The sequence below is a fragment of the Homo sapiens genome, chromosome 12 (assembly GCF_000001405.40).
Source record: "Homo sapiens chromosome 12, GRCh38.p14 Primary Assembly".
NCBI lineage: Eukaryota > Metazoa > Chordata > Mammalia > Primates > Hominidae > Homo > Homo sapiens.
Window position 1 is genome coordinate 14,779,384 of NC_000012.12, and position 24,259 is coordinate 14,803,642.

General features: G+C 37.5%; 1 protein-coding gene across 1 annotated transcript, besides 1 other annotated feature; it reads right to left on the reverse strand.

Moving 5' to 3' along the window:
- Positions 3,545-3,624: a silencer, noted in NCBI's record as "silent region_4276". NCBI's record gives its function as "represses an Ori minimal core promoter by ATAC-STARR-seq in GM12878 lymphoblastoid cells {active_cell/tissue: GM12878}" and the evidence as "EXISTENCE:reporter gene assay evidence [ECO:0000049][PMID:35858748]".
- On the reverse strand, positions 5,199-24,095 carry WBP11 (WW domain binding protein 11). The gene is made up of 12 exons (NM_016312.3): positions 23,969-24,095; positions 21,937-22,045; positions 21,369-21,400; positions 20,252-20,345; positions 17,424-17,620; positions 15,588-15,721; positions 15,154-15,353; positions 14,348-14,539; positions 11,786-11,887; positions 11,073-11,366; positions 9,568-9,750; positions 5,199-8,115 (listed from the first exon to the last, which is right to left on the reverse strand). The coding sequence occupies exons 2-12, from the start codon at positions 21,998-22,000 to the stop codon at positions 7,682-7,684; spliced, it is 1,926 nt and encodes a 641-aa protein (NP_057396.1). The 5' UTR covers positions 22,001-22,045; positions 23,969-24,095; the 3' UTR covers positions 5,199-7,681.
- Between the last annotated feature and the right edge of the window lie 164 nt (positions 24,096-24,259).

Sequence of the window (24,259 nt, forward strand, 5' to 3'; positions counted from 1 at the left end):
GAGTGCAGTGTTGTGATCACAGCTCACTGCAGCCTCCACCTCTAGGCTCAAGCCATCCTCCTACCTCAGCCTCCTGAGTAGTTGGGACTACAGGTGTGTGCCATCACACCTGGCTAATTTTTTTATTAATAATTTTTGTAGAGATGGGGTTTCACCTTGTTGCCCAGGCTGGTCTCTAACTCCTGGGCTTAACTGATCTTTCCGCCTCCGCCTCCTAAAGTGTTGGGATTATAAGCATGAGTTACCACGCTCATAGATCCTTGATAATTTTATCAAGCCATGAAATAAAAAAGCCAGCTTTGCTTAACCCCAAAGTATGGAATCAAAGGAGAGATGAACCCTATATTCAACAAAATTATCTTTCTTTTAGACAAACAAGCCATCTGCTCATGGGAGTTTATTTGCTTTCTGTTTTAAAGTACTTCTCAAATGAACTGTCTTTTTCATGTCAAAAGCCCAAGTGACCACTACAATTCCTAAATATCCCTGATGAAATGGTGCGTTTTAGAGATGGAAGTGTACAGATTAGCCTTGTAGTGAGACATCATGAAGAAAGCATGTGTTTGGCCTGAAAGAAGTGCAGTTTTAAATTGTGAAGACTAGGAGAAATGCAGTGGTATGTAAAGATGTGTAACCTCTAACCCCCAGAGTTTGGCCATGGGCCAGCTATTAGTCTAGGCAGACAAAACAAAATAGTCCAGTTCTCAGGCGCACATAGACAAGACTGAGGAAGACATCTTAATCAGGTTTGGAAATGGTAACCCCAGGCAAAATTTATCCTAAGATGTCTGGTCTGGAGACCTTCTGAACTCATTAGCACTTGGAGGTCACTTGCAAACAGATTTATCAGAACTATGTTTATAACTTTCCCTGTGGACAACACTAAATATTAAGCAAGCAGTAGAAGCAAGGAATAGAAGACTAAAAATGGTTTGATGAAAGAATATAAATCTGATTAGATAATTTAAAAAATTCCAAGAGACCGTCTTCCTAGGGAAACACATAAAGTCAACACTGAAGTGCTTCAACAGAATATAGGAACTCAGTTCAATGTGAACTTACTTCCCAGCCATGAGCAAGTGGCACCTCATAAACATTAAGTCACAAGAGGTCTCAGATGTGTGCACTGCGTTGAGAGTCCTGGTGCAAGCAATGAGAGCTTTGGCCAAACCTGTATTTTTGTCTGTGTCCTCCAGCCCAAGACCATCAGGAACATACTCGTAGTTGAACAAGTTGGATTTATTTCTCTTTGCAGCAAGGGGGAACACATTCCATGGGGAAATGTGGGGTGTCTCAGTAAGAGGCTGTTAGGGTGTATTACAGGATTTGGGTTTGTGTTAGTTGATTTGGGGGCTTTGCTCAGAATTGCATCCTGTCAGGAAGTAGGGTGCAAGGAATGCTGTAATGTGCAGAATGAAGTGAAACTAAAGCTGTCATTGGTAAATATGCTAATGCATATTAGTCAGGATAGTGGGTTTTTGTTCATTTTTGTTGTTTGGACAATGTTCATGTTTTTGTTTCTGTTCAGACATGATTACAGAATGGTCTTTTTTTAATTTGATTTTTCACAGCCTTGTCTTGTGTTAGTGTTCTGTGAATTGTTTATGTTCAACAGATCACCACAGTGTAGCTGTGTCAGGCCAACTCCTAGCAACAGCACAGTCTAGCTGATAGTCCAGGTCATGGGCTGCTTTTCCCTTGCTCATTAGCTTAAAAAATAATGTGACACCCAGAAGAGTGGTTGCTCAGCGGTGGAAGTAGACAAATACATCTCAAGGCAAATGTTGGCAGTGTCCAAGCATCATGCAAAAGAGGGAGCTACTGTCTTCGAGTAGTTTAGTTACACATTTACATATTTTAAGCATCCATATCCGCTAACAAAATCCTCATTTTCATGTTTATCAAGTAACTTTCTATCTTGAATGTATCTTTTTGTCCATGTCTTCACATAGGGTAAGAATGTCCTTGTTTCTTGAACATGGTATTCCAGGTGTTCCTCATAATAAATCATGCTTTAAATTTTTTATATCTGTATATGCATATTACTTATATTTATTTAAACGTATATATTAGGTAAATACCATGACCTCACTTTCCTCCCTTCTTCCAATATCCTGTTTCCCATTGCCCAGCCCAAATGGAAGACAAAAGAAAGCCCATTGATGCCCTATCTACAGTTTAGCCTTCTGGAGGCATACAGCAGGGTAGAAAAGTATAAAGAGGGCGTTAGGAGGGCAGACCTCTTAGTTGTCCAAATATAATATGAGCATGCATCCATTGCTGGGGAAAGAGTGTCACTGGACGTTTTACAACATGATTAAGGTTATCTCCTCACAAAACCCTTGATATACAGAGTGTTCTAGCAAGAGCAAACAGTCCAGATGAAACCTCTGTGTTGCAAAACTGTCATAAGAGTAGTCCTTAAATGAAGTCTATAAAATTTATAGCTTTACAGATTCCAGCCTGTTCTTCTGCCATTCTTTATACCACTCACCAGCCATACAAAACTCTCTCTTGTCTCTTCCAGCAGGGTACAAGGGCCCAGAGAACTCACAACCTCTTTTTTGCTTCAGCCCATCCACTAGAACTAGCTCAGGCTTAATCTAACTGCAAAGAAGCCCAGGAAATATAGAAGAGAAGATGAAATATTTTGGTGAGTACCATTGTCTCTGCCAGTTTCTTGGAGCATTTTTGCTTACTTCCTAGTTCTTAGCTTTGTTCTATTTAACATACTTCTGTTGTGGAGCTTGCCAGTTAATTAAAGTTCCTTTGAGATTTTTCAAGAAAAGTGACACACACAGTTATATTAGCTAGCACACATAAGCTAACAGTACTAGCTAGTAGCCCCTGCCAAAAGGTGCTTGAGAAATATTCCATTTGTTTTTGCCAAAGGAACCTATGCTAAGAATTGTTTTAAAACGTTGTGATAGTAGAAGTAAAGACCACTGAGTTTTCTTTGGATTCATGTGTGCCAGTTATGAATTTATTGGTTCTGAGCTCCAAATTAAAACTTCAAATTCGGCTCTGAGAAGTTTTCTCAGTAGAGGGCCCTGTAGAGAAACCTTGCAGGAAGAAAGGGCGTTATTTCCATTTGGACACCAAGTAAGGTAGGCTACCTGCCTTCAGTACAGGTTTCATGTTAGGAAACCAGAGTAGTGACAGAAACTGTATAGCTCACAAAGCCCAAAATACTCACCATCTGGCCCTTTAGAGAAAGTTTGCTGATCCCTGTTCCAGTCTATGTGTGGAAACAAAAATGAAGAATACAAGGCTCCCCAAACCACAAAGCATCTATTGAAATAACTGATGTTGTTCTGCTAGTTTTTTTCCCATAAAAAAACTAGCAGAACAACATCAGTTATTTCAAACAGATACTTTTTAAGGTTAACCCTTCAGTTTTAAAACAATCTGTCTTAAAATTATTTCTTCAAATACAAGTTTTTTTTTTTTTCCCCATGAACATGTATTTTGTAAATGAACTTTGAGGGTACAAGTGTAAATTTAAAAATACCTCCTCCTTTGGTCTGGGTTATTATGCAGTAAGAACAGTCTTAGGGGGAGATGTTGGATTTGTACTTGGCCTGGGTTTTACTTCCCTTTTCAATCAAGAAAGGCATCAAACATTCTTTGAAGGTATGGTTTTCTTTGCAATAAGTTGCTGAAGCCCTTTTTCACTTTTACAAAGAAGTTCAGCCTTCATAAAAATAATATGGCTTTTTCATTTGTGGGTGGTGTGTTTTATAAAATCAGACAGGATTTCAGAGATATGTTTCCCCCTCTTCCTGCCTAAACTTTGGCTGCCATCTTCCTTTTTTGTCTCACTCCCCATTTTATTGGGATTAAGATTGCTGGGTATAGACAGTAATAATGAACAGTGTAGTTAATTCTGTTCTTCCTTGGACTGTATATTTTTCTAGAGATTCTATGGCTAGAAACTCTGTGGTATTCTTTCTTCACAAAATACTGTTACAAAAGCCATTAAAATATTTTTTACATTTCTTACAGCATTTTTAAAGTGTTAATTCTGCATGTATTTATCTCCTGCAGAAGTGGTGTAATTCTTACTAAAAATGGATTTATCGTGGTATTTTACAATTTTAAAAACACAGCTTATTTTTAAGCTTAATATGCCTGGAAGGGAAATACTCTGTGACTGGAATAACATGTCAAGGAAAAATGTGTTTGGGGACCCATGGTCTTCAAACTTCTTTGCAGACTTCTGATTTATTTGAAATACATACTTTCTCTATTTGGTTGCAGCACCAGTAGACCCACAGTGTATATTTAATATTTCTAAACTTACAGAGAAAATATTCAATTTTTAAAAAAAACTTTTAAAAAGTTAACATGTAAAATTATAAACGTAAAATGAATATGTCTTCACTGGCACATGGCATATATAGCTGATTTTTCCCCCAAATTGCTCATAAAGTTAACGATTCTTTAAAAATGTAGCATTAGTAAGTATTGTACTCAAGATTTGAGACAGATAAAGACAATGAAGTTTATTCCCTGAATTTCCCTAAGGTCCATGAGGGTAGGGACCTTACTTGATTTAGCTCACCACTGTATTCCCAGCACCTAGCTCAGTTGTTGGACAGTAACTGTCTATAGAATAAGTAAACTTCATAAACTCTGACTCTGATGTCCCCAGATCCTCAAGTACGTCATTCCATCAATTACACCATCATTCTCCACCCTCTCCCTATTGGCTATTGCCCCTCAGCAAAAGTCTACCAATTAAAATCCCTCCATTCACCCAGAACATAGCCACCTGCCTTCTGTCCTCTTTCCTTCATAAACTACAAGGCCTTCCTAGAGAAAAAAGCTGGGAGACAGTTCTTTTGGCTTCACAGAAGTTCTGGTTCTGACTTTTGCCAAAAGCTCTTATTTCTAAGAATGTAAAAATATGTTTTCCAGCAACTCATTAATACCTTCCTGGATCTAGGATCTGTATATGAAGAAATTATGTGTAGTTCTGCTTGTTGACAGCTTTGAGCCCCAGTAGTCCTTAAATAAGGCGAGTCTTCCAAACTGGCTGAGGAACATTTTCAGACGTTAGATCCACTGTAGTTTGAGTTAGGGATAAAACCGTTCAGTTCTATATGGGTAGCGATTGTCCCATCTTCTGGGCCTGAAGAATTACTTGAATGCAATAAAAATGATTTAAAAAATACTTATAAATAACCCTTCCCAGCTATATATAAGGAGATATTTTAATCAAGAGCACAAACAAGAATATACAAAATGAGAACTGAAACAGAATCTTGGATAGCATCCAGGGCTTCATGCTGATTCCATGACATGGCAGAGTATTATTGTGGTGATCCTTAATTTAAAGGGGCAACTGCTGTCCCTAAAGTGACACTTTGATAAGGAAATAGTAACAAGTCTATCCATATACATGATTAAAGATTTCTATCATTTACATTTCATAGCTGTGAGCTGACCATTTTCATGAAAATATTATGTAAATTATGATCATAACAAGTGTACCCAGAATCAGAACTGCTAATTAATTCCCCTTTCCTGTGGATGCAGCTGATGTATTGTCACACCACTAATTTTCAGAAAATTATACTAGCAATATAAGGAAATGCCTTTATGATAAACTATCAACAGCTTTCTTATATTAACATAAATCAGAAATCTCCAACTGAAGGCTGAGATGGGAAGATCACTTGAGGCTAGGAGACCAGACTGGGCAACATAGCGAGACCTCATCTCTAAAAAATAAATTAGCTGGTTGTGGTGGCACGTATCTGAAGTTCCAACTACTTGGGAGGCTGAGGCCAGAGATCACTTGAACCCAGGAGTTTCAGGCTGCAGTGAGCTATGATCACATCACTGCACTGCAGCCTGGGCAACAGAGTTAGAACCTGTCTCCATGGAAAAATGATAAAAACATCACTCCCAGAAAGAATATAAGTTTCAAGTAAGACCATTAAAAATATTTCAGATCAAGTATTGGGAAATAATTCTGTTTATGCTGAATAACTAACAATATTGATACCATATGGTTTGATCCTTGATATCCGTAAGTTATCAAGGATGGTGTCAAGGATTGATAACATAAGGTTCAATCCTTACATCTGAACAGACTCAATTCACCTGTGGACCCGTATTAATATTACACTAAAAAACCAACCCAAAACGGTCTATTTAGTGCTTTGGCAGGATTTGCTTTAATATGAAAGAATAAATCAGTATCTTCCAAGCAAAGCCAAACAAACAAAAGATCTTGAATAAAAATCTAAAAATCCATCAACTCAACTCTAAGAAAATAAATGCCTTATTGTATTATTGCACTACATTTTAGGTTATCACCAATTTTTGATAGTATGGGATTCATGTAAAAGGCATTTGAGATACTGTGGAAAGTAACGTATGCCTAAACAATGCACGCACTGTGTGTATGTGTTTATGAAATACACACTTTGGATCACTGGATAAATCACGAGTCCTTTTTAAGTTTCAATACTCTCTAATGTAAAATGGGGAAAATACCCAGAAAAGTTATCTATAGGGTTAATTGGTAGATGAGTTAGTCATTAAATTAACATTAAACTTACTAAGAGTTAGTCTAAATTGGTAGATGAGTTTACATTAAAGCACTTTGTAAAGAAAATGGTATAAATGCAAATTAATGTTAAGCACTCTTATTCATTCATATTTTAATATAAAAGCACACCAAACCCACCAATTCAGAAAGGAAAAAAAGCTAACCTCTTCTGATTCTTTTATAGCTTAAAAATGGTTTAAAATGACTTTTGCCATTCAACTCGTATCAGTTCAAGAAGCTCTGGAATAAGTAACCACTGAAGGTAAGACATCTTTTAAATAATAAAAGCCAAACCATACTATTCTTAACACCTCTCAGTTTCTCTAAAGCCAGTATGACAATCTTAAAAAAGGGAAATAATTACTCCTTTTTATCCCTTAAAATTTAAAATGTAGTTTTTACCATGTTTTCAGTAAGATTCTCATTCTGTACCAGAAAGGCAGTTCCTTAAAGACCCAAGTTTTAAATATTTAACTTTTTCTGTCCATAAAATAGGTATTATGTTTACATATTATCAGTAACACAGAGTATCTTGGTGTAGAACATTTATTTATTTTTCCCACAAATCACTGAAAGTTTAGGTCAGTGGGAAATAATTTTAATCAAATAATTGTACATATTCTTCCCACATATCCTGCCTTGTATTAGGAAATGACATTGTGATCCATTTCATTACAAGTAAAATATTACAAAATATTTACAGGAAAATATTAAAAATAACTCAAACACAAAAGGCAAGATGAAATAAACTGTTTTTTTTTCTCCAGAAATCTCTACTCCAGTGCCCACAGCACACAAGAGTCAAAACAAATAAGCAACTAAGATCCCCCGATCACAAATTTCCAAAGAACTGGAGGAGGGGAAGAAACAGGGTGAAAATGGTGGTATGAAAGGGAATGGATGTTAGCAGCACTGCTTCAATAACTGATCTATTCTGGATGAAATACCCTTTTTTATGTGCAGTAAATTCTGAACAAGGCTAAATTTTAGGATATTCCTTGAACTGAAATTAGAAAATACCCTGACAATGGAAGCAGCTCTTTCATCTAAGTTTAATAAGAGCCTCTTTCTCCATGGGCCACTGTTGTGAACAGAAGCCTTTTCTGGCATCAAAAGCTGTCACAGTAGCCCTTCCATCTCTTTCATGAAAGCCTCATAGACATCATCCTTAGTTTGTACTGAGACAGGAACAGAAGGACCAGATTTGGGTGCTGCTTTGGCAAGAGGCACAGCAGAATCATCCTCTGACTTTCTTTGGGGAGCAGCAGTAGCCCCTTTATTCTCCCGACGTACTCTCAGTGCAGTGGGCACAAATCGAGTAATCTCTGCCTTGGGATTAGTGATCTGTGGCTTGGCACTGATGGTTGCTGTGGCTTTCTTCTCAATGGTGGCTGCACTTGTATCATCCGCCTTGGGTCGCTGAATCAAGTTGGGTGGGGCACTTAAAACCCCAGGGTTTGGCAAGGGAGCTGGTGGGAACAGCCCAGGGGGGGCAGGTCCAAGGGGAGGCACCAAAGGTGGGCGCATCATGCCAGGACGAGGTGGAGGAATACCTAAATGAATAAAATAGGCAAGATGAATACTGTAAGAACTAATAAAATTTAACTACTATTAAGGACATTTAAATATTGGTTGCCAATTTTTAAATAAATGGATAACAACTTACAGAAAATAAGCTGAATTCATATTGGTTGCTATTTGAAACTCAGGAATATTTTATTATAAAACAGTATTTACCTTCAGCCTATATTCCTGTACTTACAGTATTATGTTCTCTTCTTCTCTAAATAACATCCTACTTTAAAATATAAAGGGACATCAACTGGTTTCAAATTACTATCTCAAATCTCACATCCCAAGGTTCTATTCCAGCTGCATAGTGCAGGTATTAGTAAGGACAAGGTCAGGAGACTGATCCCCATGCATTATATTCCATACCATTTCCCCTGCACAAAAAGGTCAATGGGCAGGAAATAAAATTTTAACCCTGGTCATCAAATGCATACGGAGGCCGAGCATGGTGGCTCACACTTGTAATCCCAGCACTTTGGGAGGCTGAGGCGGGTGGATCATTTGAGGTCAGGAGCTCGAGACCAGCCTGATGACCAACATGATGAAACCCTGTCTCTACTAAAAATACAAAATTAGCTGGGCGTGGTGGTGCACGCCTGTAATCCCAGCTACTTGGGAGGCTGAGGCAGGAGAATTGCTTGAACCCAGGAGGCGGAGGTTGCAGTGAGCTCAGATCGCGCCATTGCACTCCAGCCTGGGCAAGAAGAATGAAACTCCGTCTCAAAGAAAAAAACAATGCACATGGAGTAAGAGAATGCAACTAATCACAATCTGTCATCATTACTGGAAAAGAACTCATGTCCTATGGACAGTTCAGACATACACAATATTCATATACCAAGAACTGCAGATTTCAGTTCTTCAAATACCACTTTTAAATGAAATATTAAGTACATTTTATCAAATCTAAGATCCTATTGATTACAAACTCATAATTATTCTGTGTACCACTGAGAGAGAGAGAGGAAAAAAAGCCCCAGCTGGGGCACTGAAAAGCAGATATTCACATGAAACTGGGACATTTCAGTGTTGTAAACTAGAAATATACCTACCACATAAAACAAGCCCACAAGAAAATCTGCATGTCTAACCTTGACATTAGGTAGAGGTAAGGGAAAAAAACACTCTAATTTTAAACTTTAAGTTGGTACTCATGCAGATGCATGAAACGGCTTCGTAACTACAACTAAAACCAAAAAATTATCAAATAGAGAATTTAATCCCATGTTCTCTGGCTACAAGTTCCTCAAGTGAACCAAGTGCAAATACCCACTGGAAGAACTGTACTTCAAGCCAGGTCAACGGCAACTTAAAAACCACCACTGACTGTAAGATGACCTCAGATTTCAGAATACTGAAATGTGACCATATGTCTTAGAGCAAATTAAATAAACAGCAGGCTAAGTTTTTATTATAGAAATTGAAAGCATCACCTGGAGGTGCAGGGGGAGGTAGCCTTGGTGGGGGTCCACGAGGAGGGGGACCAGGAGGCAGACCTGGAGGTGGACCTGGGGGAGGGCCAGGGGGTCGGCCTGGTGGTGGTCCTGGAGGTAAAAGTCGGGGTAAGGGCCCTCGGAGTCCTGGCATTCCAGGTGGTCTCAGGAATGGAGGAGCTCCTGAAAAGAGAAAAATGATAAATTAATGTCACACAAATGTACACTAAGTAATAATTATGGCTTAAAAGTAACTCAAATATGGTTTGACTTTAACCTGAAATCAGATTAACTTCAAGAAGTTAATGAAACATACATGGAAACAGAATTCATTCAATAAATATCTGAGTACAGCCGGGCATGGTGGCTCATGCCTGTAATCCCAGCACTTTGGGAGGCTGAAGTGGGTGGATCACAAGGTCAGGAGTTCAAGACCATCCTGGCCAAGATGGTGAAACCCCATCTCTACTAAAAATACATAAAAATTAGCCGGGCATGGTGGCAGACACCTGTAATCCCCGCTACTTGGGAGGCTGAGGCAGGAGAATGGTGTGAACCCGGGAGGCGGAGCTTGTAGTGAGCTGAGATTGCGCCATTGCACTCCAGCCTGGGTGACAGAACAAGACTCCGTCTTAAAAAAAAAAATATATCTGAGCACCAGAAAAATGGTACTGGATTTGTTGTGGATCTTTTCACTTTATTTCCCAACACTGACAAAAAGCATATTCAATCACAGCTCCGCAATGTTGGAAATATACAAAGGTGATAAGAATTCTTAAATGGTTCCAGTATAAGCTGAAAATGGAATATAAAACACAATGCTTTAAGGACCCCTTGAAACTCATGAATATATAGACAAAGACCACTAAGAATGACATAAAATAGGTAACTTTGCTTTGCACCAATCGGAAAATGATTAGCTCAACTGAAGAAAACTTAGTAGGCTGACAATAGGATGAAGGACTAAAATCACAAATAGCTGAAAAGTTCTCTGTTGCTTCATTTCATAAATAATCTTTTTATACTTTCAAACTGAACACTTAATAAACAGACTAATCACCTTTGCCTCTAAAAAAGAACTACAACTAAAAAACTATGGAGATTACACTGACATTCAACATTCCTAACCTAAGAACACAAGACATTATTAACTGTGTCTTACTCCCACCTGCTGCCAATTTAGAGCTAGGTCAACCTATCATACTAAAAAGCAATACTAAAGAAAACCTCCATTACATGTTCAAGTTTCTGTCTGCTGTAATAAGAAAAACTGTGAAAACAAGAGTGCTCTGGAGAAAAACAGGTGGCTGTCAGTAGAACTATGAGTTGCAAACAATGGTTTGGGAATGAACAACCTTTACTTGTCCTTTGAGAATCCTTCACATCTTAAGAGAATCCAATTAGGAGGAAACAAGAAAACATGAACACTAACAACACATAGTATTTTTTGGAATGACTTCATTCTAACCTCATTTAAACTTTATTCACATTATGTAAGTGTTTACCTGGAGGTGGACCAGGAGGAAGGCCTGTAGGTGGCCCAGGAGGCCGTAATGGTGGAGCAGGTGGTGGTCCAAGAGGTGGTGGTCCTGGCATGGGAGGTGCTTGTATCTGAGAAGGAGGAACAGACTGCGGCGGAGCCTGCTGCTGTGAAGAAGCAGTGGATGTGCCATCAGAATGGGATTCCTCTTTATGCTGCTTTTGTGATTGCTTTTCTGCTTCAGAGTCATCAGAATCATCTTCATCATCGTCCTCTGAAAATTCCTCTACTTCCCGTCCCTCCTCAGGGATTTCTTGACCTGAAAGAAATTTTAAACCCAGTAAATGGAGTTGATTCATTTTCTTACAGTTTGGAGAACAGCAATGACTGAATACACATGGTTAATAAATGTGTTCTCAAAATTAAAAACCAAATAGTCTTCTTCAATAAAATACTTAGATGTGAAAGAAATAACATTCTACTTATCTATGTTAATGCAGCATAGTGGAATGAACTCAGGCTTTAAAACCAGACAGACCAATATTTAAATGCCAGCCCCACCATTTACTTGCTGTGTAACTTTAGGCAGCCTATATAATGGTTCCAAACCTTATTTTTGTAAAACAAGGACTTATTACTTACTTGAAGGTTGCTGAGATACTAAATGGAAAAACGTATGTAAAGTAATTAGCGTGAGGATACACCAAAAGGTGATTCACTATTTTTTCCCTGCCTCACCTGCCATACGAAGCATCATGGCTTGAAGAGGAGTCAGTTCCTTCATGTTCTTCTTTTTCTTCCTTGATTTTCCAGGCATATCTGCAAACCGTACACTCAGACCTAAGGGGACAAAGGAGGGAGTGGAGTAGATTGGCATCAACAAAATTCAGTAAATGTTTACTACGTAGCACTATAAAGTACTAGATATGATTGCTACCCACTACTTGGCAGAGGTGCAGGATGAGATAGCTATACTAATGATACGAACACCCAGATAAAAACAATTTTCAAGAAAAGATAAATTACTAAAGTTGGCCAAAGAAGTGATAAGCCCAGAATATACAAAACTTAAATGGTAGTTGAAGATCTACTCCTTAAAGGCTACAAATAATATTAGGAGGAAATTCAGCCAAACATTAAGTTACAGAAATCTGATAAAGAGCATAGGAAAAGATGAAATGTTACCCAACTCATGAAACTAGCCTAACCATGATACCAAAATTCATCTACTGGCCAACATAAAATATAAGCAAGTTACACATGTTTATAGCAGCACAATTTGCTATTGCAAAAATATGAAACTAATTTAAATGTCATCAACCAACCAGTGGTTAAAGAAAATGTGGTATATATCCACCATGGAATACTACTCAGCCATAAAATGGAACAAAATAATGGCCTTTACAGCAACTTGGATGAAGTTGGAGGCAATTAAGTGAAGTAATTCAGGAATGAAAAATCAAATATTGTATGCTCTCACTTATAAGTGGGAGCTAAGATATGAGGATGCAAAAGCCTAAGAATGATACAATGGACTTTGGGGACTCAGTGGGGAAGGGTGGGAGGGGAGTGAAGGAAAGGAGACTACAAACTGGGTACAGTATATACACTACTTGGGTGAGGGATGCATCAAAATCTCAGAAATCACCATTAAAGAACTCATCCATGTAACCAAACACAACCTGTTCTCCAAAAACTATCAAAATTAAAATTTACAAAAAGGAAAAAAAATACAAGCAAGTTGAATCCAAGTGTTCTAAAAGCCAGCAATCTAATTCACTAAAGAACTTAAAAAAAACAAAAAAAGTTACATCCCAACAGATACCTAAAAAATATTTATGATTAAAAAAAACCTATTAGCAAGCTAAGAATAAAAAGAACTTAACTGACAAAGGCTATCCATTAGACACTGGATAGGAGTATTTTTAGTTGGTAAACATTTTAGGAGAATAGTTCCATGTGAACAGAACTTTAGTTTTGTTTACCCTGTATCCTTAGTGCCTAGAAAAAATGCCGTATATAGTAAAAACTCAATAAATATTAGCTGAGTGAGTATCAACTCAGAGTTGGGACGGCCATTTTCAGAACATGTGTGTTGATGAGAATATATAAGAAAAATCTGGCTGGGTTGGTGGCTCATGCCTGTATTCCCAGCACTTTGGGAGGCCGAGGGGGGCAGATCACCTGTGGTCAGGAGTTCGAAACCAGCCTGGCCAACACGGTGAAACCCTGTCTCTACTAAAAATACAAAAATTAGCTGGGTGTGGTGGCGGGTGCCTGTAATCCCAGCTACTTGGGAGACTGAGGCAGGAGAATCGCTTGAACCTAGGAGATGGAGGTTGCAGTGAGCTGAGATTGTGCCATTGCACTCCAACCTGGGCGACAAGAGTGAGATTGTCTCAAAAAAAAAAAAAGGAAAAAAAGAAAAAAAATCTGTAGGCAGAATAAAAGGAAAAGAAGGCAAGAGACCACACAGACCCAGAAAAAAATGGAGCTGCCATGGCTCTAATGGCTTTCTACTTTCCAGTCCTAGTTCCTACCTAATAGTCCTCTATAATTATCTTTCATTACCAGCTCTATCATTTTTAACCAGCTTTTTTGTTCTTGCAACCATGATTCTTAAGACACAGCAGGAGAAAAATTTGTCATTATCAATATTAATATTACATAGTATTATATATTCTGTTGTAGGCCACATAAACAATCCCAAAAGAAGCTCCAAAATTGCTGAGGTTTGACAGAATTGGTGTGCATTTTCCACTGTCAGTACCCATTATGATGCTTAAAATTTTCTTGACAAATGTCCTATTTGAATTTTTTAATAATCAAACACACACATTATAGATATAATATGTTTCATGATTCCACTCATGAGTGTACCTGGGTTATAATTATGATCCTGGTTCATGTAAGATACCATAAAAGGGCTTCAAAGGTAGATATTTAAACAGATTTATAAAATACAACATCAATGTTTTTCTTAATATGGCTACTCTCCTTTCTTTCCTGTAACATACCCATAATACGTTTATGCTGTTGAATAGTTATACCTTTTACCCCAAAGTGAACTTTATTACATAGACATTTTTATTACATACAGTTTAATGCTTTTCCTCATAAACATCCACTGAGTACTTACTGTGTCAAAAACTTTCAAAATTTTAATATATAAGATGAACACAGCTATGATCCCGACTTCCAAAGATTTCAGAGTACTCTCACAGATTCATTAATAAATTAGGACCTTCAGCTTGTTTTCTCTTTATTGATCAATACCATGAATCCTTCATCTGCACATACCTGACTTCTTTTCTTCATTGTTGTCTCTCTCACCATTATCACGGTGCACAAATTCATCCCCGTCACTTTCTCCATCTGATTTGTCGGTGTCACTGTCATCAGTACTGTCATCATGCTTATCTTGATCCATGTCCTCAGGATAGCCATCATCTTCACTGGTGCTAGAAACATCATCATCATGACCTCGCTGGGCTGAAAAGTGGGAAGGGAACATGGAGAAGTAGTATGATTGGACCCTCCACTACATGGTACCCAGAAATACAGAAAATTATGCTATTCAACTCAGACTGTAACAACTTAATTCTTACCAAAAAAAAAAAAAAAAAATTCTTGTATATATAGCTACTCATACAGTCTAACAAAATTTTCCTCTGCCAATAATTTTAAACACTTCTTTTTGGTAATTTAAGATTTTTTTAAAAAGAGTTCTAATTTGAAAACCCATTTCCTCCTTTAGCAACAATCATGTTTGTATACACATACACAGTCAGTGAATGTATACAATGACGCTCTAGTCTGATGACAATAAAGCTAAAAGGGAACCAGATATACAAGTCTTAAAGGATTAGCAGCAAGAGTGACATCTCCAGGAAAAGCCTAATTTAAAACACGATAAACATTTCTATACTTATGTATGATGCTTTTACTTGAGAAGATCCTATGATTTATCCAACTGTATGTATATTAGTTATGTACATGATACCCTCTCATTTACTTTCTAAGTTCTGAGGGTGGTGAACAATATGTTAAACAGGGCCAACATAAAAAATGATAGTTATAAAAGCAAAAGAACAGTCACTTCTCACCAAGTTCAGGACTATATAACATGTCTTCATCTCGCCTACGAGGGGGAAGATCTAGGGCAAAACCCACTTTACGGCCATACATCTGCACGACTTGAGGAGGAGGTGGACCAGGGGGAGGGCCAGGAGGTTTTCTGCCAGGGGGCAAACGTGGAACACCATGTCCAAGAAGAGGAAGGATAGAAACTGCCCGAGTTGGAGGTCTGTTAAAAAAAAAAACAAAAACAAAAAAACCCCCACAGTAATCACTTAACAGTAATGAGATATTTATTTTCTCTTCTAAACAATTTTCAAGGGATTTCTTATTTTACATTTAATCAAATGTCACACTGTTTACATCCATATTGTCTTTTATTTCCCTCTGCATTAATTTTGGCACTGGACAGTCAACTTGTGCCTTTACTAAATGCTCTCTGATTGTGACACTGCTTCCTTACCCATAGGCTGAGGTTTTCTTTAGGATAGAGGGTGGCTGGGCACCAGGAAGTGGAATGTCCTGGATCAAAATGTTGGAAGGAGCATGTGGCATATCTGGCAAAGGAATACTCTCCACTTCCACATGCTGAGCATTCTGAAACAGAGAACCATTCAGTAGTATGATAAAAAAGTCATCTACTAACTAAACACTAAAAATGACAAGTCAGCTGTTTCGTAACTTGGACATGCTTTCCAACTAACATAAATATCACCAAAAACCCCCAGAAAAATAACCTTACGTCAATACTTCCACATTGTCAAAGAACTGAAAGAAATCTTTACTTCTAAAAACGTCAGAACCCAGCTGTTTTTTTTCTCCTCTTATCAGGTAATTCTTTTTGGATGATTCGAAACAGCTGTTGTCTAGAGAAAGCCAACTGTTACAAGTATCTAGCACCAGAACTACCCTATTTAACATGTGATAGAAAAATACATGTCAGGCTGGGCGTGGTAGCTCACACCTGTAATCCGAGCATTTTGGGAGGCTGACGCAGGTCGATCACAAGCTCAGGAGTTTGAGACCAGCCTGGCCAATATGGTGAAACTCCATCTCTAATAAAACTACAAAAATTAGCCAGTTGTGGTGGCGTGTGCCTGTAGTCCCAGCTACTCAGGAGGCTGAGGGAGGAGAATTGCTTGAACCTGGGAGGCAGAGGTTGCAGTGAGCCAAGATGGTGCCACTGCACTCCAGCTTGGGCAACAGAGTGAGACTCGGTCTCAAAAACAAAAAATAAACAAAAAAAAGAAAAATAATATATGTCAACTAACAAATAGTATATATCCAGTGGTGGAGGTTGGGCTCATTAGCTTGCCTATGTTGAATTTCTGTTGTGTATTAGCTTAGTTTGACTAAGCAAGGTAACCTGTGCCTTCATCTGTAAAATGGGAGACATATTACCTCCTTTACAGAAATTATAGCATTTGATTTTTTCCCATCTTTATTTTGAGGTAAAATTTACGAAATTTACAAATTCAGTAAGTTTTGACAAATGCATATACCTCATACTCCTTCCCAATCCATCTCTAATATCATCCCCCAAGGCAACCACGGCTACATTTTTTTTTCCTGCACAGATTATCTGTGACTATTCTAGAATTTCATAAAAATGAAATCATAACAATGAGATAAACTTAGCATGTTTTTGAGATTTACTCACAATTTTTCTTTTTTTATTCCATGCTGTTTTGAGTATTAGATTATTCCTTTTATTGCTGAATAGTATTCTATTGTATAAATATGCTACAGTTTAATTATCCATTATCCTATTAGTGAACACTTAGGCTGATCCAAGTTTTTGAATTAATTTCTTCTGTTTAAATAAAGAGGATTAGATTTGCAGGTTCACACAGTAGGTATATGTTTAGTTTTAGAAGAAACTGCTATAAGGAAGAGGTTCAACATGACATTCTCCCATTAACTTTTTAAATCTAAGTATAGGCTGAGCATCCCTAATCTGAATATCTAAAATGCTCCAAAATCCTAAACTTTTTGACTCCCATATGATGCCATGGTGGAAAAATCCACACCTGACCTAATGTGATGGGTCGTAGTTTTGTTTCATGCACAAAATTTATAAAATTATCTTCAGGCTATGTGTATATGAAACATAAATTTCATGCTTAGACTAGGGTTCCATCCCCAAAATATATGCAAATATACACAAAAACAAAACAAAATATAAAAAAAACCCAACAACCCTAAATCCAAAACACTTCTGGTCCCAAGCACTTTGCATAAGGGATACTCAATCTGTATAATATTTTAGTTTATCTCTCAAAAAAAAAACCTTGATTACCTTGACAGCATCAAAATATTGGCTAAGTTGAGCCCTCTTCTGTTCATATTCTACTTCTAGCTTTCTCAATTCTTTGTAAATATCTGGATTCTCTTTTTCATAGAGTCGTAGAATACGTTCAAAGGTTTCACGCAGCTTTTTACGCTTGTCTTTCAGTACTTTCTCATTTAATTGTGGCTGTTGCACTGGGTTAAACTCTAAGAGAAAAAGTAGATTATGGAATTAAATATAAGAGGCCACTTCAATTAGGTATCAATAGGTTACATGATAAAAACCTCCATATATGCTAAAAAATTTTTAAGAGATCTAGACACCAGACATACTCTTTTCAATTTTATTCGAAGAACTACAATATTTATTAAAATCCCCACCCTTTTTAGATGGCCACTAATTTTACCTTTCTCAGAAATGCCACCTAATTGACTTTCATCTTCATTGTAATAAAAATCAATTTTCACTGCTCTGTGCTGAAAACCTCGTGAAGATTCTGTCAGATTTGTGTTTACCTACTACGTTAGTCCTGTCAAATTTTGAGATCTTAAGCATTTTACTTGAATTCTCTGATTTTTTGCTTCCTCATCTAAAAAATGGAGACGTTAATCACTTTGTAATAAAGCTATGATGATACAATGGGATTACAAATAAAATATCCAGTGGTGTTTGACTCACCACTTAACTATAATCTTTATAACAGATCCGTATTCCTGGCCTAGCTACTATACAATCCTTTCTCTCCCTAACTAATCATGTGTCAATATGGGGCTTAACTGCAGGTCCTCTATCCCAAGAATAAGACCTCCAGGCCTGCCTGGTCAATCATATCCCCCCATCTTCCTTTTCAGTGAATGACTCAGAGATCAATTAGCACATGATCCAAACTGGGACCAGAACATTCCCTGAGATTTTAAATGTAGATGTGAGAGAGATAAGCTCTCAGATTTTCTTTCTGAATGTGTTATGTAGAGAGAAAACAAACCTAGAGCTGCCTGTGGCCTTGTCTCTCAATCATCACTAATTACACACATATATTCCACCTTCTATCCCAAGGAGTTCATTAGTAGTAAGCTGAATGAGGCTAACAGACATCAGACTAGACAGATGGACAGTACTGATGATGAGACTGGATTTTGAGGCTAGTTTCTCTCAGGGATTTCTCATCTTTTTTTTATGTTAAGACTTCTTAATTAAGACAGCCAATGCATGCTTTTTTCTGCCTTAACTAGTCTGTATTGAGTTTTATAAATTGTAACTAGACCCCTGATGAATAGTATTCTCTTCACCCCTTTCCTTTTTCTTAAAAGAATAACAAATTTATCTTCTTCCTTAAATCCTATTAACTATTATTAATCTTGGCAATTTATTCAAATCCAGAGGGCGTATTCTTACACCATACTAATCCTAGTGTGATTAGTAAAAGCGCTGAATGCCTGAGTTTTAATCTCAGCTTTGCCACTACATAGCAGTGTGACCTTGAGGAAAGCTATGTAATCTCTCCATGCCTGAGTTTTCTTACCTGTATAATAGGGACAGTGCACCTACCCTAAAAAATTGTGACGATTAGAAAACTGGTGGAAAAAAACTGGTGCGTAGGTGTATAGCAAGACAACTACTCAAGAAACCTCAGTTATTCCTATTATCTCCTTTTAAAACAACACATAACATTTGGGGTCATTTAAAGAAGGATTCCCTGATTCCCCAAGGAAAGTAATTATCCCTGCTGATATTTAGACCAGAGGCAGGAAGTGGAATCAGTTACAACTGAACTGGGAAATATCTGGGATCCTGAAGCCTGACCCAGAACTCTTAGCCAGGCTAGCTGCACAGATTCTCCCACATTATTTCAGAAACCTTGTAATAGCCTAATGCCATGACTGAATTTTTTTTTTGTACCCCATTTAATGTATCATTGAGGAGTTTCATTCCATCTCTTTTACTTACTACTCTGTTTTTGGGCAAAACATGGAACTTGTAACGATCACTTTAAAATGCTATTTTACAAAAGTGGCAAAGGGTAGAAGACAAAGTGGCAGAAACTTGACAGGTGAAAAGCACATGGAAGTTAACTAGACTATTTTATTTTCTTGCATGTTTGAAAATTTCTATTAAAAAAACAAAATATTCTACATGTTCTAATATTAAACAGAATGGATATTTGTGGGTTAGGATAAAATTTCCAGTGGCAACATCAATGATTTTCAAACTTAGATGCAAAAAAAGATAACATGCAGCTATTTCATGTGATTCCAGTTATAACAAAGCAGCGATACTTAAAATGCATATGAAGAGTGAATAAAACTATTCTATAAAATGTGAAAAAGGCAGAGAATCCTGGTATAGTATTTTATTATTTGGTTTTTAGGTATTTGATGATTTTTTTCTATATCCTTACTAAATGGATAAGTATCTTTTTGGATCTTCTGATTGGAAAAATTGGAAATTGCCTTATATTCACAGGGGCCTAATACTTAGATTTACATGGTAGTTGCCAACATTAAATAAAAGACGACAAACAAAAAACCCAAGGTTATTTCATAAATCAGATTAAGTCTTCTCCCAAAAAGCAAGCTGGCCAAACTGTGCTTCTGTTATCTCACAATAACAATTAACTGAAAGCCAAATAATCGCTTCCCTCTTATTCTGGTATCTGGGGTCTCCAGTTTGCAACAGCCCTCTAGCACTCCATTTTGTCTCCCTGAAACTAACATTAAATCCAAGCATCAAATGCCATCATGCTGTTCTGTTTTACTTACGCCTATGCTGCTTCACTCGTTACCTGCCTGCCTCTGTACGTGTCAGACTGTTATAGCTGCCTGTTTGTAAATTCTTACCCATTTCATCCAATTTCTCCATGTCTCGGATTATCTGTTTTGGATCCTTCATCTTTAAAACTGCAGCTCGAACCATCATGCGCTGTTTTTTGTTCTTAGAAAAATAAAAGGGCAGATGTCAAGAAGTCAGGCACTCAGGAGTTTTACTTCAACTTGCTTTAAGAATCTAAACAGAATAACTCCTTGGCTTCTGATCACTTGTTTCAACCACCAGAAACAGCTATGTAATTTTTTGCCTTAAAAATGTTTACACTTGTCAAAAAGATAAAGAAATGCTATTTTTAAGATGTGCTTTCTTAGTAAAGTATTTCTTTGAACTCTGAGATCTTTAGCAGTTACTTAAACACACATACACTTTAAATTTCTTTTTTTTAACCCCTTATGTTCTTGAAGACCTTGGGTGATTGTTCCTGCCCCCTGTTGTAAAACCTCTGCTAGTTGAAGTCCAAAGCAAAGGTTGAAGCTAAATTCTAAAATTATATAAAGAATATTTAAAAATTTTGCAGGAGTTAATGCTAAACATGAAAACACAATCGAACATTATTTAAAATCTGTGTTGCTTCAATGTATTATACTATAATACTATAAAGCACAATACTATAAGGCAAATCCTTTCTAATTCTTTTGAAGTACTTTGCCACAAATTCAACAGCTAAGAGGAGAATGCTAATTGGGAAAATGGATATATAAATCTAATATATCTATAAATATTATAAACCTACATATATATATTTAAGCTAATGTAATATATGTAATAGACAGCTAATCAGGAAAATGGATAAAGCTATCTAGCATCATGTTTATTTCCATCCTCATCAGTAGACTTTAAAACAGTTATGTTTTAATGAGTAAAAAAAAGAATTATTTTCAAAAGTATTTTTTAACTCACTGGGAAAAGTAATCAAACAATGGCATTATAACCTGTAGTGAGCTTCTCTGCAAAGTTACTTCAGTTCCTAAATAAAGTTTGGCTTAGTATATCTTACAGTTTTTATAAAAAGCATAAAGTACCTTTTCTAGAAAATATTAGAAATGTTATTCTGAAACCCACTAATCCCAAATCACAAGATGTACCAAACAATACTTAAAGTTTTATAAGATGCCTCTAAAATCATACCTTCTTTAATTCTCTCTTCCGGGCTTCCTTTCCTTTAAAAGGAGAGAGGGAGATATAATAAAATCTTTGAATCTTGAACATTAGCATTTCCTCCAATTTAATACAGGTAATTCTTTATTGTGGAAAGTTACAGTATGCACTGTAAAAGAGCAGCATCTTTGGATTCTCTCCACTACATGCCAAGAGCATCCCTCTAATTATGACAACCAAAAATGTCAAGACATTTTTGTTTAATGTTTCATAAAAAACAACTATGAATCTGAAGGAAAAACATAACATAAAACGCGAAACAAGGGCTCGCAAAACTAATTTGCTCAAAATTTCCAATATAAAAAGAAAGATTTCAGCCAATTCTACTTTGCAAGTCAATCAAATTTGAAAAATAAAATACGGGTACTAATTTCTTTGCATATTTAAAGTCTTAATGTGCCCATACAAACCCTGAATATATAATTTATTCCTCCTATCACTGCTGGTCTTGTAATTAAGCCACAGAGAAAGAAATTCCCTAATATTTGCAATTTTTAACACTCTCCTACTTCATCATTCCACACTAATGGACACTTACGGGCTTGGTCTGTGGGGTTCATAAATTTTCCACTCTTGGTGGATGATGTAGATCTCCGTCCCATGTTGACAATTTGTATGGTTTACTTGTTCATTAAAAAAAGAAAAACCTGTGAAGGTGAAGACAAAGAAATAGCTTATATCTCCTAAATGTATTTCTTCCTTTTTCTAGTCCCTACCAATCTCTGAAAAAAAATTCCTTTAATTAGAAATTCTGTGAGACTGTTCTTTCCTTAGTTTTGACTTTAATGTCCAAGAAAGATGGCATCACCTTTCTTGACCATGAAAATTTAGATCTCTATCATTCTTCAGAAATGTGATGAGTGTGAAGACCACTTTGAATATCCTCAAGTCATCAGTTTAGCTTTTTTCTTATGGATCACAGCACTGACTTTGTCAACTGATAAAAACAACTAGAAAATGCTTTAACGATATGGCACAAACCATGAACATCAGAATTCATTAGTCCTTCTTCTATAACCTCCCTTTATTAACATGTAATTGTAAAAGAAGAATAAGAAGGGAATGGGGGTAATGGATCTAGGCTCAAAACACATACCTCACCTTTGCCTCTCTCCATGGTTTTTCTTGGCATGTATGCTGTACATTCTCAATACTTCTAAGACACTAAAAACTCATTAATTTAAGCATATTTAATTCAGATTCAGTTCTAGTTCAGATATAATGCTTGACTCTCAAGAGTTCAAAACACAACTAAAAATGCAAATATTTGAAATTAGTGCTATACTGAGAGCTCCCCAAAACTTAAATATTAAGACACATATTTTTCTTACTAAGACCTGACTCCCAATATATATTTCTTAAGGTAATTAAAGGGAATACTTATTTTTGTTTGAGGAAAAAATATTTTGTAAGCTAAAACTTTTATTAACACAGTACCCTATTACATGACTTCTTCCTCTTATTCCAAAATAATGGGGCTTAATTTTTTGAAGCGCAGTCTTTCCAGTAATAAAGGCGGACAAATTTGCTTCCTTTTGCAAGTAGACACTTTTTAAAGGTAAGAAAGGGAAGATTTTGTCAGCCCAGTTTATTACAGTTAATGTCTCTTTCACCAAGTGTCCAACTGCCCCGAAAGCCAGATGTTTCAGAAAGCCAGATGTTTCACAGCTGTTCTGGTGGCAATTACTTCAAGACAGCGGTATCAAAGGCTCTGATTTTTAGCTTCCTCATCTAAAAAATGGGGACATCAATTACTTTATAACAAAGCTCTGATGATACAATGAGATTACAAATAAAATATCCTGTGATGTTTGACTCACTACTTAACTAAAATCTTTATAATGGATCCATATTCCTGGCCTAGCTACCATACACCCTGTCAAGTGGTTTCCTTCTAAGAAAAACTGGGGATGGGGGGGTTAGGGGGGTGGGAGAGCAGCAGGGAGTAGGAGGTAGGGAAGGAGGAAAACAAGCAAAATCAGTACATATACAAGCTCTCCCATCTTTGATTGCCTGCGTTTTTTGTGCTTTCCTTTCTCAAGTTTCCTCAGGCTCATGTTCTGAATCTCCTCCCCCACAAATGAAACACAACGGATACGAATTACAGAGAATTTTACGGAAGACACTGGAGCTTAAGTCTGCAGATTAGTTTTTTGTCTACAAGCGGAGGCGACTGGAAAATCAAGCCAAATAAGCGTTGGATAACTCTAAACAGCCAAAGAAGCTTCAATGGGATAGGGTCCAGGTTCACCAAAGGAGGCAACACCAGCAACTGACGAAACCATAGCGACGGCTGACCGACCATGACTCGAGGTACAAGACGTCAAACCTAAGGCTACTAATCAACGTGCGTAAGAAGCGGCCCCAACCGACCCGGGCGATGCCAACCGCGCAACCACTGGTCGCCGCGCCACCCCAGGCCCAGGAATAGCCCAGTCCGCAACAGGGAGACCTCAACCAGGGAGAGGAGGAGCGGGGCAAAGGGGCTGGGTGTCCCCCAAGCCGCTGCGCGGGACGTGGAAGGGACGAAAGAGGTGAGGAAGAGTAGTAAATCAATTCAATACACTCACACTTCTGCTGTGCTCCCAGGACTACGAGAAGCGGGTAGGGGGCGACTCCCGGCCTCTTTCACTTCGTAAAGGCCTTCAACTGGGTCTCTCGGTCAACCCCTCAGCTACCGCCATCTTGAAACCTCGCGCCCCTCCGCACTCCTCACGTCATTTCCCATTCCTCTGTCCCGCCTTCTCTTAGCGCCGCTTGACCCTGGAACCATAGAGAATACCCAAGAATTCCAGGACCAGAGTCTCTTCCGGTTCCATACAATACTCAATTGGTTGGTTGTCGGCTAAGAGCCCGCCTCA